The 18,000-nt window shown below is 37.2% G+C and overlaps 1 protein-coding gene across 5 annotated transcripts in view; it reads right to left on the bottom strand.

Moving 5' to 3' along the window:
• DYNC2H1 (dynein cytoplasmic 2 heavy chain 1) overlaps positions 1–18,000 on the bottom strand; it is a 370,438-nt gene that overhangs the window by 78,498 nt on the left and 273,940 nt on the right. For 4 of the 5 annotated variants that reach the window (NM_001080463.2, NM_001377.3, XM_006718903.3 and 1 more), the window contains one exon: positions 1,494–1,703. The exons of the other annotated variant lie outside the window; for it this stretch is intronic. In NM_001080463.2, coding sequence (NP_001073932.1) covers positions 1,494–1,703 — 210 coding nt within the window. The remainder of the gene's footprint in view (positions 1–1,493; positions 1,704–18,000) is intronic. 5 annotated transcript variants of the gene reach the window in all.

Below are 18,000 nucleotides of genomic sequence, written 5' to 3'. Positions count from 1 at the left end.
TAATTCAACAGCAATTTGTCTTAATGATACATTTTACTCTGTACGGCATATAGTTGGATAAAGAAATATACTCTCAAGAGCATTTATATTTTGATACATAAATTTGAAGCATTTACATTTATTATGACAACAGGACATACCCAGATTCAAATCCTGGTTCTGGAACTCTTTGCTGTGTGATTCTGGTTATGTAACACCCCACTGCCTCAAATTCATCACAGTAAAATGGAGACAACAGTATGTCACTCAAGATGTTACTGTGATGATTAAACGAGTTAATTAAATAAAGTTTTTAGAAAGTTTAGAATCCTTTCCAACTGGTTCCTTCACTGTGCCAAGAATCTTTCATGACTGACAATATATCTACTCCAAATTAAAAACAACTTAGTTACAATCTGTGGTACAAATCAAAACTATAGTATTTTGATAATCATGGTTGATTAACAGAGACGGCAATGTATGTACAAAGAAAAAACAATGCAAAACAGATTCTTTTTCAAGGTAAAATAAAAAAGAAGACAAGGATGCCAGAGTAGACCTTTCTGTATATGTAGAAAAGCACTGGATATTTTAATGCTAGTATATGTGAATGTAGGAAGTTCTAGGAAGGCTATTATTTTATATTCAAACAGAGAGGACTGTTAGGTTGACTATCAGAGGTTTCCCTATATTGAGTACAAACAGCAAGGGGGCGTGAAAAAAAAAAAGAAAACTTAATTCCTATAGCACTCCACTGAAATATTTTCCAGATACCAACTTCTGCAAAGTTTCTATTCTCCAAACAGCTAAAATAAATCTGTGCAGAACATCCCATATTTTTGTTTCTATCAAATAGATATAAAATACATGGATTTTATTATCATTTAAAATGGTCCAATTTTTCAGCACAAGAAGTGTTGATTTCCCCTTCTTCTAAAACTATCTAGACTTTTCACTGGTAATCATCATTTCCTTACTCTCAGTATATGTGTTAAAGGCAAAGATAAATCCATCCCCAGCTCCAGGAAGAGGCATTTGGCTGAAGCTCTGGTCAGTGAGAGCTTTGCACACACTGCCCACTGAACTAGTATGGGAATAGGCATAACGCATGAGCCAACTGGTTTTAATCAAAGCAAATCCTAAGATTTTTGTGTGTGTTACTAGAAAACACGTGTTCTTTCTGTTGGACTTGGAGCTTGGAATATAAAACTCAAGCTCATGTATAGGGGACCTGCCCCAAAGTGAAATCAACATAAATTTCATTATATATGTAACACTAGATAGCTAACATAAACTGACATGCTAATGACAATTTAAGTTCCTACATCAAGCTGGCATAATGCTAGATACCATTGGATTCTTCAGTTACATCAGTCAATTAATTTTTATATGGCTTAAGCCAGTGTGACTCGGGTCTTCTGCTATTAACTATATGATTCCTGACAAATATATGTGTGATGGAGGAGTCACTTATAACAATGAAATAAAAATACATACAGTTAGTACTCGCTTACCTTTTGGTTTAATAAAGCACTTGCCAATTTTTGTACTTCTGAACTCAGTAAAGTAGTTCCTCTGATGACTTTGCTGAGAGCAGCAAGAGACTGGTGGACACTTTGTACTAAACGAATAGCATTAAATTGTTCAAGAATGATGAATGACAGTATTGGAGATCCTTGTCGATCGTTAGGAGGAGGCACTTTCTGATGTATTAGGTTTGAATTCTAAAAGAAAAATGTCATAATATTTACCGAATAGTAACACAGATCACTGATATATAAAACGCTTTGAAACTTATTTAAACCTTTTGTTCTATTCTGTTTTAAAAACTATTTTGAAATGCTTTTATTTTATAAACGGTCAAATGTATTAAGTCAGCAAATACACAGGAAGGGAATTCTGGAGTTCCTCAACATTTAAAGCGGTGTGTGGGCCAGGCGCGGTGGCTCCCATCTGTAATCCCAGCACTCTGGGGGGCCAACGCAGGTGGAGCATTTGAGGTAAGGAGTTTGAGACCAGTCTGGCCAACACGGTGAAACCCCGCCTCTACTAAAAATACAAAAAAAAAAAAAAAAAATTAGCCGAATATGGTGGTGTGCACCTGTAACCACAGCCACTCAAGAGGTTGAGGCAGGAGAATTGCTTGAACCCCGGAGATGGAGGTTGCAGTGAGCCAAGATTGTGCCACTGCCCTCCAGCCTGGGCGACAGAGTGAGACTCCATCTCAAAAAAAAAAACAAAAAAAAAACGGTGTGGGAAATGAGAATTAAGAACAGTGAAAGGGAAACCACATTAAGTAATAGTATGGTAAGAAAAGAAAGTAGAAAAAATGGCATCCCGTAAGTCAATGCAAAGAGATCAGAACAACTGCAATACTACTCGACCACTACAAAGAGAGCAGAAGAGATCATGGTTTTAAAATAAAATGTGAATGGGCATTTTTTTCAATTTGAAAATTACAACACAAAACCACAGTAAAACGAAAAACGAAATCTTGTGCTCAAGATCAGTGAACATTATATCTTAGTATTTATTTCTATATATATGCTTTAACAAGGCCTGTGATATATGACAGTTCTGGGGTTTCTTAAGAAAAACTGAAGGAATCCCATTTGTTTCCAAACAGCTTATTAAGAGAAAAAAAATCACTTTCAATAATTAAAAGAAAAAGATCACTTTCAATAATAGTCTAAAAGTGTCAAAGAACTGCCAAGAAATAATTTTGGAAAGTGCTATTCTCTTACCTACTACTCATTATCTTAATTTTCTCTATGTATTCTGCTTACAGTCTTCATTAAGGATCCCTTCTCCTCATTCTACTAGTTGCCACATTGACGAGTCTATGGTGGCACTGTTGCTTTTTCATCTATTTAGCATAGTAAGTAATTTAACCTACCATGGTTACTGCCATTAAATAAATCAACATTAAGTAAATTTTATTAGCATAAAATCATTCCTAAAAGCAGATTCAGGCTATGAGCTTAAATGTTGACATTTTTATCCCTATCACTGCTACATTTACAATATTAATACTCTGAAATCATTTTTGAGATACATTCATACTGAATCCAGAGGGGGAAAATGTCTAATATTATAAAAAATTAATTAGAATTAACTACTTGTCAGAGCATGCAATAAATAATATTTAGCACATCTCCATCCTAAATCAACTAAGTAATAAAATTCAAATAAAATTTGACTTATAGACCTTCTGTAATCCTTTATATTAAAACAGGGTTCCTGGAAGTAAATAATATGTGGTATTTAAATATTTATCAATCATATACCAAGCAAGATTAACAAGTACTAATTTAGTTTGTTTCAAAGTATATTTTGTGGATTTTAATCCATTTTATTAAGTTGATAGCATTGTTTGCACTGTCACTTAATAGAACAAAAACACTCAAACTTAGATCATTGAAGCAAGATTCCATTTATCTACAATCCAAGAAAATAGGTAGCTAAATGTACTAAACATTTTATTTTTTATTTATTAACTTTTTCTTGACAGGGTCTTACTCTGTCTGTCACCAAGGCTGGAGTGGCTTACTGCAGCCTCGACCTCCTGGGCTCAGGTGATCCTCCCACCTCAGCCTCCTGAGTAGCTAGGAATACAGGCACCCATCACCACACCCAGCTAATTTTTGTATTTTTTGTAGAGACAGGTATTTGCCATGTTGCCCAGGCTGGTCTCAAACTCCAGGACTCAAGTGATCAACCTGTCTTGGCCTCCCAAAATGCTAGGATTACAGGCATGAGCCACCATGTCCAGCCTAAACTTTTTAAAAGGTTGATTTAGCAATCCCCACAATATCCAAGCTGAAACTAACTCAATTCTAAAAATAAATACAGCTGCTTTAAACATTCTCAAAAGATGAATGGAGCATATTTATGCAATAGCAACATGTTAAATTGTATGTTACGTAGTCTTGAAAATAAACTCAACATTTATAATTCAAATATAGCTAACAATCACAAAATGAGTATGTTACAACGACTATGCAGTATGCTTTTTGATGAAACTAGCAACTGACAGCCATATGTTTACTCAATTGATTACTAGGGTTTTTTTTTTATTGAGTAAATACAATTGATTGAATTGTATATTTTTGAAGGATTGCTTTTGACATTTTAAAGTTCATCTTGTCCTTAAAAAGCTCAGTGTATACAGACAAAATCATTATCTGATCATGGAGCTGCTAGGAGGGAATAAGGTTTTCTTAATTCCTTTCTGTCTGCCTTTCTTTCTCTCATTCTGTCTCTATTTATTTTTATTGATTTAGACACAAGTGCAGGTTTCTTACATGTATATAATGCATAGTGGTGAAGTCCACACTTTTAAAGTACTTATCACCTATGAAGTACAATGTGCACTATTTAGGTATTTTTTCAACCCTTACCCACCTCCCACCTTTTACAGTGCCCCATATCTATTATTCCACTTTGTATGTCCATGTGTACCCATTGTTTAGCTCCCATTTATAAGTCAGAACATGTGGTATTTGACTTTGTTTCTGAGTTATTTCACTGAGGATAATGGCCTTCAGCTCCACCCATATTGCTACAGAAGACATAATTTCATTCTTTTTTATGGCTGAGTGGTACTCCATGCTGTGTGTGTGTATACAGGTTATCAATATTTAAAACTTAACTATTAAGCAAGAAAACTCATTTAGGCAAGAAAAATTTGTCTAATTTGGTACAATTTAGGTGTGAAACCAGGTTGTTTGTGTTTTAACTGAAACAATTTCCTAGGTGGGATACTATTTTAGACCTAAGTGAATGGATGACACATGAAAGTAGCATTCTTTTTGTTTGTTGATAATTGAGCTTTTAGAAATGATTCTCCCTCAGAAAGAATTTTTGTCAGCAGAGTACACTCAAGCAATGGGTAGACCAGAGTTTAGCATGTTCATCCGTAAAAGTCCAGAGAGTAAACACGTCAGACTTTGTGGGCTGTAAGGTCTCTGTTGCAACTACTCAATTCTGCTGTTGTAGGATGAAAATAGTCACAGACAATATAAACAAATAGGTATGACTGGGTTTTAATAGAACTGTATTTACAAAAACTAGCAGCAGGCTAGATTTGGCCTATTCCTGAGTTGCAGTTTGCCAACCTCTCAACTAGATTATCACTTGTACAAGGTGTTATGGGGATTGATATAGAGTCTAGGTAACATCAGAGTCCTTCTCAGATATGTGACTCAGTGAAATTCATAAGATGTAAAATGTAGCCTCTGCTGTATTTATCCAGAGCTTATAAAACAGTAATCAACAAATGGACAAAGGTATTTTTTCCAGATTATATGATCATGTCTTGGTTCAATGTATGTTTTCTATGATAAGGAAGATAAAGATAACAAAAGACTCGATGAACAGTCACTTTAAAAAGCAAAAAAGGAAATTAGAAGTAAAAACAAAGTTGGAGTGGATCTGTAAGGGTTAAAGAAAAGGGAAAAATACCTTCACTTCTATGTAATGGAAATTCTACCTTTGCCCTCAAGTAACCCTTCATTCCTCTTTAGATAATCATTTCCTATCGTCTGGGCAGAAGCCTTTCCCAAGTCTTAGTCCACAGAGTTCTGGAAGAGTTGATTCAACTCAGTTCCACAAATTAATTTGCAACTTGAATTGGGGCTTAACTAATGAGAGCGTTCCATTCTCTTGACCACAGTGACTGGTTCAGGGATGGCAGCATGACCAAACAGAGACAATGAAATGTGGTAAGAATTCTGCTGGGTATTCTGAAAAATAGGTAACTGTTTCTTTCTACTAGACTTGAACCTGAGGGATCATAAATTAGAGAATAGCTGCAATAATTCTGTGATAATAAAGAGATGCTGTATGAAAAATGGTGCCAATACAGAGAAGTGTGTGTGTGTGTGTGTGTGTGTACATATACATAAATATATATATGATATATATGTATATCAGTGATACAATGATCATATGTAACATACATGATCATATGCATGTATATATTCCAGCACATCAGATCTTTCAGAATATATATTATATATGAGGATATACATAATACATAATAAGAAATATATATGTATATAGAAATCACTGGGTCCTCATGACATTCTTGCAAGTTTCTTGAAACAAGCTATGAAAAAAACATTTTAACACCTTTTCAATCATATACACCATACATTTCCATTTTTCACATAAGTCAGTTTGAGCTGAGTTTTCCAATTACTTGCAATCTAAAATGTCATAACTGATTAATGCAAGTTCAACAGACAACTTTCCCAAGCATCTACGATCAGAAAGGTCAAAATATTACATATCTGGATTAAATTATGCCCATATCTGCATGTCTGTATATTATGTACATATCTGCATTAAATTAAATCCACAAGTGGATTTCTGGCAAAACTGTGGAAAGAGGAGGGTAGGGAAGGGAATAAAAAAGGAAAGAAAACAGCATTTTGAGTTTGGTGAGTTCAGGGAATTCAAAGATTATAGAATTTCTTGCCACCCATTTCACAGGATAGCTGGCTGCCTTACTGTACCAAAAGCCAGTTATTAGTGGACAGAGCTTGGATTTCTAAACCTTTTATACCTAGTAACAACTATAGTCATACCTCAGGGGATTGGATCCCCTCCCCTCCCATAGCACAGGGTATCCACATCGCAATTACTTTTGCACCAACCTTATTTCAAACAAAAGCTCCTTTGTATTAGCTCTGTTTGTCCACTAATAATTGGCTTTTGGTACAGTAAGGCAGATGGCTATCCTATAAAATGGGTAGCTAGAAATTCTATAATCTTTCAACTCTTTGAACTCACCAAACTCATAATGCTATTTTCTTTCCTTTTTTATTCCCTTCCCTACCCTCCTCTTGGTATTGAGCCTCCCTCAATACCAAAATCTATGGATGCTCAAATTTCTTATATAAAATGGGGTAGTATTTGCACATAAACTGCACACATAATTCTGTATACTTTAAATAATCTCTAGGTTACTTATAACACCTAATACAATGTAAGTAAGCATTACGTAAGTAGTTGTTATACTGTATTGTGTTTTTTATTTCAGGATATTTTCAATCTATGGTTGGTTGAATTTGCAGATGTGGAACCTACAGATTCGGAGATCCGTATTCCTTTTCATAGCAAATTGTCAAGTGGATCAAATAAAACCCAAACAGTCATGTTTTAATTGCAATTAAAGATATGTTATTTAATTGAGCAAGCAGAATTCAACCAGGGAAAGTAAGTAATAAATACCCAATAAATTGTTTAAATCAGAAGTGTTGAAGAGCTGAAATAAAGGGCAAAAACACAGGAAACTAGTAGATCAAGTAAAGCCAAGGCTAAAAGAGAAGGGGAGTTGATATGGTTTGGCTGTGTCCCCACCCAAATCTCATCTTGAATTCCCATATGTTGTGGGAGGGACCCAGTGGGAGGTAATTGAATAATAGGGGTAGGTCTTTCCCATGCTGTACTCGTGATAGTGAATAAGTCTCATGAAATCTGATAGTCTTATAAAGAGGAGTTCTCCAGCACAAGCTCTCTCTCTTTGCCTGCCCGCATCCACATAAGAAGTGACTTAACTCCTCCTCGCCTTCCGCCATGACTGTGAGGCCTCCCCAGCCATATGGAACTATAAGTTCATTAAACCTCTTTCTTTTATAAATTGCCCAGTCCCGGTGTGTCATTATCAGTGCGTGAAATGGACTAATACAGGAGTATTCTGAAAGATCTGAGGCATGGAAGCTAATGCTATTACATATTTCTAAAAGAAAAATCAGGAGAAACCTACAGAACACTAATACAAAGGGGCTTTTGTTTGAAATAAAGTTGGTGCAAAAGTAATTGTGATTTTGCCATTTTAATAAAAACTATGAAACTTTCAAGGCATATGAAATGAGTAAATAATTTTAAAGCAAATAATTTTTGAAGTAGGCTATTAATAGAAAAGATGGCACATTAATAAAAATTTTTATTTCTAGGAAAGTATCTTTAATATGATATCTGCTCCATAATTTGGCCTGAGGAATGATTCTGCTCTGTGAAGCTATCAAGTAAACAGGCAAACTAGTAGAATAATAGAGTAACAATACAATCTCACATTAAGAGGCCTAACACAGACCATGATATTTAAGAGGAAGAATAGCTAATTTTCATGGAGTACTGACTATGTGTCAGGCATATGCCTTTCAGTACAAAGTTATTTTGTTACATTTTAAGTTCTGGCTGGGTGCCATGGCTCACACCTGTAATCCCAGCACTTTGGGAGGCTGAGGTGTGTGGATCACCTGAGGTCAGGAGTTCAAGAGCAGCCTGGCCAACATGGTGAAACCCCGTCTCTACTAAAAACACAAAAATTAGCTGGGCATGGTGGTGCACACCTGTAATCCCAGCTACTTGGGAGGCTGAGGCAGGAGAATCGCTTGAACCTGGGAGGCGGAGGTTGCAGTGAGCTGAGATCACACCATTGCACTCCAGCCTGGGTGACAAGAGCGAAACTCCATTTCAAAAAAAAAAAAAATAGTTTCAGGAATATAAGAGTGTGAGAGAAGGGTGGGTTATGAAGAATAACATACAATATCATACATTTGAGATTTTTGTACTTGCTTAAAGGAAACCAACAGGAAGACTTTTTTTTTTTCCAAAATTGACTTACACTGAAAAGTTTATCTTTGCCTCCATACCCCCTAAAAATCAAATGATGTATATTTTTCCATGAAATGCCTTTTGGTGTGGTTTATGTGCATGACTGATTCTTAGAAAGCCAATAAGATAGGGGTGGAGCCAAGATGGCCGAATAGGAACAGCTCCAGTCTAAAGCTCCCAGCGTGAGCGACGCAGAAGACGAAAGATTTCTGCATTTCCAGCTGAGGTACCGGGTTCATCTCACTGCGGATTGTCGGACAGTGGGTGCAGCGCACCAAGTGTGAGCCGAAGCAGGGCGAGGCATCACCTCACCCAGTAAGCGCAAGGGGTCAGGGAATTCCCTTTCCTAGCCAAGGAAAGGGGTGACAGATGGCACCTGGAAAGTCAGGTCACTCCCAACCTAATACTGTGCTTTTCCAACGGTCTTAGCAAACGGCACACCAGGAGATTGTATCCTGCACCTGGCTTGGAGGGTCCTATGCCCATGGAGCCTAGCTCATTGCTAGCACAGCAGTCTGAGATCAAACTGCAAGGCAGCAGGAGGCTGGGGGAGGGGCGCCCGCCATTGCCCAGGCTTGAGTAGGTAAACAAAGTGGCCGGGAAGCTCGAACTGGGTGGAGTCCACCGCAGCTCAAGGAGGGCTGCCTGCCTCTGTAGACTCCACCTCTGCGGGCAGGGCATAGCCAAACAAAAGGCAGCAGAAATGTCCTCTGCGGACTTAAATGTCCCTGTCTGACAGCTTTGAAGAGAGTAGTGGTTCTCCCAGCACGGAGTTTGAGATCTGAGAACAGACAGACTGCCTCCTCAAGTGGGTCCCTGACCCCCGAGTAGCCTAACTGGGAGGCACCCCCCAGTAGGGGCACAATGACACCTCACACGGCTGGGTACCCCTCTGAGACAAAGCTTCCAGAGGAAGGATCAGGCAGCAACATTTGCTGTTCAGCAATATTGGCTGTTCTAAAGCCTCTGCTGCTGATACCCAGGCAAACAGGGTCTGGAGCGGACCTCCAGCAAACTCTAACAGACCTGCAGCTGAGGGTCTTTACTGTTAGAAGGAAAACTAACAAACAGAAGGGACATCCACACCAAAACCCCATCTGTACATCACCATCATCAAAGACCAAAGGTAGATAAAATCACAAAGATGGGGAAAAAACAGAGCAGAAAAGCTGAAAATTCTAAAAATCAGAGCGCCTCTTCCCTTCCAAAGGAACACAGCTCCTTACCAGCAACAGAACAAAGCTGGACAGAGAATGACTTTGACGAGTTGAGAGAAGTAGGCTTCAAACAATCAAACTTCTCCGAGCTAAAGGAGGAAGTCTGAACCCATCGCAAAGAAGCTAAAAACCTTGAAAAAAGATTAGATGAATGGCTAACTAAAATAACCAGTGTAGAGAAGTCCTTAAATGACCTCATGGAGCTGAAAACCAGGGCATAAGAACTACGTGATGAATGCACAAGCTTCAGTAGCCAATTCAATCAACTGGAAGAAAGGATATCAGTGATTGAAGATCAAAAGAATGAAATGAAGCGAGAAGAGAAGTTTAGAGAAAAAAGAGTAAAAAGAAATGAACAAAGCCTCCAAGAAATATGGGACTATGTGAAAAGACCAAATCTACGTCTGATTGGCGTACCTGAAACTGATGGGAAGAATGGAACCAAGTTGGAAAACACTCTGCAGGATATTATCAGGGAGAATTTCCCCAATCTAGCAAGACAGGCCAACATTCAGATTCAGGAAATACAGAGAATGCCACAAAGATACTCCTCGAGAAGAGCAACTCCAAAACACATAATTGTCAGATTCACCAAAGTTGAAATGAAGGAAAAAATGGTAAGGGCAGCCAGAGAGAAAGGTCGGGTTACCCACAAAGGGAAGCCCATCAGACTAACAGCTGATCTCTTGGCAGAAACTCTACAAGCCAGAAGAGAGTGGGGGCCAATATTCAACATTCTTAAGAAAAGAATTTTCAACCCAGAATTTCATATCCAGCCAAACTAAACTTCCTAAGTGAAGGAGAAATAAAATACTTTATAGACAAGCAAGTGCTGAGAGATTTTGTCACCACCGGGCCTGCCCTACAAGAGCTCCTGAAGGAAGCACTCAACATGGAAAGGAACAACTGGTACCAGCCACTGCAAAAACATGCCAAATTGTAAAGCCCATCAAGGCTAGGAAGAAGCTGCATCAACTAACGAGCAAAATAACCAGCTAACATCATAATGACAGGATCAAATTCACACATAACAATACTAACCTTAAATGTAAATGGGCTAAATGCTCCAATTAAAAGACACAGACTGGTAAATTGGATAAAGAGTCAAGACCCATCAGTGTGCTGTATTCAGGAAACCCATCTCATGTGCAGAGACACATATAGACTCAAAATAAAGGGATGGAGGAAAATCTATCAAGCAAATGGAAAACAAAAAAAGGCAGGGGTTGCAATCCTAGTCTCTGATAAAACAGACTTTAAGCCAACAAAGATCAAAAGAGACAAAGAAGGCCATTACATAATGGTAAAGGGATCCATACAACAAGAAGAGCTAACTATCCTAAATATATATGCACCCAATACAGCAGCACCCAGATTCATAAAGGAAGTCCTTAGAGACCTACAAAGAGACTTAGACTCCCACACAATAATAATGGGAGACTTTAACACCCCACTGTCAACATTAGACAGATCCACAAGACAGAAATTTCGCAAGGATATCCAGGAATTGAACTCAGCTCTGCACCAAGTGGACCTAATAGACATCTACAGAACTCTCCACCCAAAATCAACAGAATATACATTCTTCTCAGCACCACACCACACCTATTCCAAAATTGACCACATAGTTGGAGGTAAAGCACTCCTCAGCGAATATAAAAGAACAGAAATTATAACAAACTGTCTCTCAGACCACAGTGCAATCAAACTAGAACTCAGGATTAAGAAACTCACTCAAAACCACTCAATTACATGGAAACTGAACAACCTGCTCCTGAATGACTACTGGGTACATAACGAAATGAAGGCAGAAATAAAGATGTTCTTTGAAACTAACGAGAACAAAGACACAACATACCAGAATCTCTGGGACACATTCAAAGCAGTGTGTAGAGGGAAATTTATAGCACTAAATGCCCACAAGAGAAAGCAGGAAAGATCCAAAATTGACACCCTAACATCACAATTAAAAAACTAGAGAAGCAAGAGCAAACACATTCAACAGCTAGCTGAAAGCAAGAAATAACTAAGATCAGAGCAGAAATGAAGGAAATAGAGACACAAAAAACCCTTCAAGAAATCAATGAATCCAGGAGGTGGTTTTTTGAAAAGATCAACAAAATTGATAGACTGCTAGCAACACTAATAAGAAAAGAGAGCAGAATCAAATAGATGCAATAAAAAATGTTAAAGGGGGTATCACCACCGATCCCACAGAAATACAAACTACCATCAGAGAATACTATAAACACCTCTACACAAATAAACTAGAAAATGTAGAAGAAATGGATAAATTCCTCGACACATACACCCTCCCAAGACTAAACCAGGAGAAGTTGAATCTCTGAATAGATCAATAACAGCATCTGAAATTGAGGCAATAGTTCATAGCTTGCCAACCAAAAAAAGTCCAGGACCAGATGGATTCACAGCTGAATTCTACCAGAGGTACAAGGAGGAGCTGGTACCATTCCTTCTGAAACTATTCCAATCAATAGAAAAAGAGGGAATCCTCCCTAACTCATTTTAAGAGGCCAGCATCATCCTCATAACAAAGCCTGGCAGAGACACAACAAAAAAAGGGAATTTTAGACAATATCCCTGATGAACATCAATGCAAAAATCCTCAATAAAATACTGGCAAACCAAATCCAGCAGCACATCAAAAATCTTATCCACCATGATGAAGTGGGCTTCAACCCTGGGATGCAAGGCTGGTACAACATACGCAAATCAATAAATGTAATCCAGCATATAAACAGAACCAATGACAAAAACCACCTTATTATCACCTCAATAGATACAGAAAAGGCCTTTGACAAAATTCAACAACCTTCATGCTAAAAACTCTCAATAAATTAGGTATTGATGGGACATATCTCAAAATAAGAGCTATCTATGAGAAACCCACAGCCAATATCATACTGAATGGGCAAAAACTGGAAGCATTCCCTTTGAAAACTGGCACAAGACAGGGATGCCCTCTCTCACCATTCCTATTCAACATAATGTTGGAAGTTCTGGCCAGGGCAATCAGGCAGGAGAAGGAAATAAAGGATATTCAATTAGGAAAAGAGGAAGTCAAATTGTCCCTCTTTGCAGATGACATGATTGTATATCTAGAAAACCTCATTGTCTCAGCCCAGAATCTCCTTAAGCTGATAAGCAACTTCAGCAAAGTCTCAGGATACAAAATCAATGTGCAAAAATCACAGGCATTCTTATACACCAATAACAGACAAACAGAGAGCCAAATCATGAGTGAACTCCCATTCACAATTGCTTCAAAGAGAATAAAATACCTAGGAATCCAACTTACAAGGGATGTGAAGGACCTCTTCAAGGAGAACTACAAACCACTGCTCAAGGAAATAAAAGAGGATACAAACAAATCGAAGAACATTCCATGCTCATGGGTAGGAAGAATCATTATCGTGAAAATGGCCATACATCCCAAGGTAATTTATAGATTCAATGCCATCCCCATCAAGCTACCAATGACTTTCTTCACAGAATTGGAAAAAAACTACTTTAAAGTTCATATGGAACCAAAAAAGAGCCTGCATTGCCAAGTCAATCCCAAGCCAAAAAACAAAGCTGGAGGCATCACACTACCTGACTTCAAACTATACTACAAGGCTACAGTAACCAAAACAGCATGGTACTGATACCAAAACAGAGATATAGACCAATGGAACAGAACAGAACTCTCAGAAATAATGCCACATATCTACAACTATCTGATCTTTGACAAACGTGACAAAAACAAGAAATGGGGAAAGGATTCCCTATTTTAATAAATGGTGCTGGGAAAACTGGCTAGCCATATATAGAAAGCTGAAACTGGATCCCTTCCTTACACCTTATATAAAAATTAATTCAAGATGGATTAAAGACTTAAATGTTTGACCTCAAACCATAAAAACCCTAGAAGAAAACCTAGGCAATACCATTCAGGACATAGGCATGGGCAAGGACTGCATGTCTAAAACACCAAAAGCAATGGCAACAAAAGCCAAAATTGACAAATGAGATCTAATTAAACTAAAGAGCTTCTGCACAGCAAAAGAAATTACCATCAGAGAGAACAGGCAACTGACAGAATAGGAGAAAATTTTTGCAATCTACTCATCTGACAAAGGGCTAATATCTAGAATCTACAATGAACTCAAACAAATTTGCAAGAGAAAAACAAAGAACCCCATCAACAAGTAGGTGAAGGATATGAACAGACACTTCTCAAAAGAAGACATCTATGCAGCCAAAAGACACATGAAAAAATGCTCATCATCACTGGCCATCAGAGAAATACAAATCAAAACCACAATGAGATACCATCTCACACCAGTTAGAATGTCAATCATTAAAAAGTCAGGAAACAACAGGTGCTGGAGAGGATGTGGAGAAATAGGAGCACTTTTACACTGTTGGTGGGACTGTAAACTAGTTCAACCATTGTGGAAGTCAGTACGGCGATTCCTCAGGGATCTAGAACTAGAAATACCATTTGACCCAGCCATCCCATTACTGGGTATATACCCAAAGGATTATAAATCATGCTGCTATAAAGACACATGCACACGTATGTTTATTGCTGCACTATTCACAATAGCAAAGACTTGGAACCAACCCAAATGTCCAACAACGATAGACTGGATTAAGAAAATGTGGCACATACACACCATGGAATACTATGCAGCCACAAAAAATGATGAGTTCATGTCCTTTGTAGGGACATGGATGAAGCTGGAAACCATCATTCTCAGCAAACTATTGCAAGGACAAAAAAACAAACACCACATGTTCTCACTCATAGGTGGGAATTGAACAATGAGAACACATGTACACAGGAAGGGGAACATCACACACTGGGGCCTGTTGTGGGGTGGGGGGAGTGTGGAGGGATAGCATTAGGAGATATATCTAACGTTACATGATGAGTTAATGGGTGCAGCACACCAACATGGCACATGTATACATATGTAACAAACCTGCACGCTGTGCACATGTACTCTAAAACTTAAAGTATAATAATAATAAAAAAAAGAAAGCCAATAAGATAGCCCAAAATACTTTTGTGTGTGTGTGTGTGTGGTGTGTTTTAAAGTATGAGGAGAGCCCAACTGCTCTCAAAGAGTAAGCTAATTGGTTCAATAACTTTATGGCTAAAAGGAAGAGTTAGCATTTCAACAGCTACTGTAGAGACTCAATGAGAAAACAAAAAATAATTCCAATACCACATAACATCACCAGTGAACAAAAAAAGGAAGTCTACAAACAAAGCATAATCATTTAATACACATATATAACTTATTTCACAGTTGCTCAAAATAAAAAGATTATTTCAGCTTCTATTTCAAGTAGGGCTAGCTGCTGCTGAAAACAACCAAAAATGTTGAATAACATATTAAAGCATATTCTTAAATGCAACAAATGTAACTACGAGTTCAGAAGTAAGGCATGATTATTCAGAAAGCTAAGTGTTGACTTTTTAATCTTCATCTTTATTTACCTCATGTTGAATGTGAACAGAGGTATTCTAGATCAGATTGCTTATTAATTCTCTCATAGTAACTAAGTGTGTTGCCCCTACCTTCTTGCCCCAGGCCTTATTTCTGGGGCAGCCACATGAAAACCAGATCAATTATCCTATTCAAGTAGACAGATCTTCCATTGGCTAGGTACAAGGGGTAGAGAAAAATGGTTTTTCTCTGCTTATAAAGAGGAAGAAGGCAGCTGTCCTCTTTCCTTTGAAAGGGGATGTCTAGGAAATGTAATGTGACTGAATTTTAAAGAACACTGTGGTACGTAAATAAAATCTCTCCAGGAGCCAGATGACCTAGAGATGATTCCAAGTTTTAGAGCTTTATTCCTTTTGATATGTAAATATTTAAGGAGATAATGCTATAGTCCCTCCAGGACTCTGGATTTAATATAGGATTTTAGGCCCTTTGGCCCTTTTCTGGAAGCTAATATAAGTTTTATTATCCTTTCTGATCAGACCAATAAACTAGGCAATGGCTACAAATTTAATTCTATGGTAGATGAAGAGTCATAAGACTAGGGTTTTTTACACAGAAACACTGAGAATGTAACATGCTGACAGATCAGATTCAGCTGAAAAAAAACAGTGAACCAGAAGACAGTTCTGTAGAATTTATTCAGAATGCATCATGTAGAAAAAAAGATGGAAATTATGAGAAATAAGACACATGATGAACAGAGAGAGAAAGGTCTAACATACATCCAATATCAGAGTTCCAGAAAAGAGAGATAGTGAAGTAGTCAAAATTTAAAGAGTAACTCAGATGTTGATAGTACTGATCAACACCACTAATGAAAATTCAAAAAGCCCATTAAATCTTACCCAATTTTTTAAAAAAATGAATTAAAGAGAAAAAGAACACAATTCCATACCCAATCTCAACAGTATAACTGCAGAAAATCAAGGTAAAGAGATCTTAAAAGCAGCAAGAAAAGATAGATCAAAGAAGCAAAAATTGACTTCTCAACAACAGAAACCAGAAAAGACAGAATTCTATCTCAAATCTACCTTCAGTATAATGAGACATTAGATGTTAATACAGAATAACATACCCTTTAAGACAGAGGGCAAATTAAAGGCATTTTCAGATAAAAACTCAAGAGTTCACAACCAAAAGATACTTTCTACACTATAAGCAGATGCAAAGTGAAACCAAACAGAATGTCTGAGATACAGGAAGAAATAAAGAACAATACAAGTGATAAACATGGGGCAAATCCAAATAAGCATTATGTACATGACTACAACAACAAGAAAGACAGACTAAAATATAAAATCATAACTGCATATAAAGTTGGAATTGAGTACAATATACTAAGCTTCTTGAACTGTCTGGGAGTTATGCAAATATACTGAGTTTAACTTTGATAAGCTATGTATGTACAAAAAACATACAGAATACCAACTAAAAAGTAAAAAATGCATATAAGTTGTAAACTAGGAAAAAGAAACATTAGAAAATAATCAGTCCAAAGGAAGATGAGTAAAAAAAAGTATAAAAAATATAAAATGTATAATTAATCCAAATTAATGTAAACAGACTAAATATTCCAGTTATAGATCAGGCATAATCCAGCTATAGGCTCTTTATAAGAGGCACCCATAGAAAAACTCGAGAAAGTTAACGTTAAAAGTATAAATTAGGATATATCTAGCAAAAAATAACCAAAAGAAAACTGACATATTAATATCAGAAAAATAGGAAAAACATAAGCGCTAAAGGGAATCACTTTACGATGACAAATGTTCAATATATCAAGAAGAGATAACATTCTGAACCTGTATAAATAAAACAAATGAACAAAATACCATTTTGTGTATGTGTAGTAGTATAAGCTTTGAATTAAAACATTTTACACTAAAGGATAAAATGGGAGGACAGCAGTCAACAATAGCAGAATATTCATTCTTTTCAAACATAACAAAATGTTATTGCATAGTGGGCCATAAAGCAAATCCCAACAAATTTCAAAAGATTACTGTCATAAGACCATATTCTCTAGTCATAATGTAGTCATACATAATAGACATCTATACCTAAAAGGTAATCAAGACAGTAAAGAATGAGTAAAAAAATGGAGCATAGAAGATGAAGTTACAATGAAATTTAGAAAATATTTAAAAGTGAACAATAATGAAAACATGCCTATCAAGCTGTGGGTTATAGTTAAAATGGTGCTCAGTAATATAGCCTTCAGTGCTTTTATTAAGATTTTTAAAAGGAGAGGCCGGGCATGGTGGTTCACGTCTGTAATCCCAGCACTTTGGGAGGCTGAGGCGGGCAGATCATGAGGTCAGGAGATGGAGACCATCCTGGCTAACATGGTGAAACCCCGTCCCTACTAAAAATACAAAAAAATTAGCTGGGCGTGGTGGTGGGTACCTGTGGTCTCAGCTACTCGGGAGGCTGAGGCAGGAGAATGGCGTGAACGCGGGAGGCAGAGCTTGCAGTGAGCCAAGATTGCGCCACTGCACTCCAGCCTGGACAATAGAGCGAGACTCCATCTCAAAAAAAAAAAAATAAAGATTTAAAAGGAGAAAGAATTACCAAACTAACCACCCAAATCAAGAAGCAAAACATTAGAGAAAAAAACCAATAAAGGACGTGCAAATGAAAAGGCATATTCTATTATG

Source organism: Homo sapiens, chromosome 11 (genome assembly GCF_000001405.40).
Source record: "Homo sapiens chromosome 11, GRCh38.p14 Primary Assembly".
NCBI lineage: Eukaryota > Metazoa > Chordata > Mammalia > Primates > Hominidae > Homo > Homo sapiens.
This window is presented reverse-complemented; position numbering and strand designations above follow the sequence as displayed.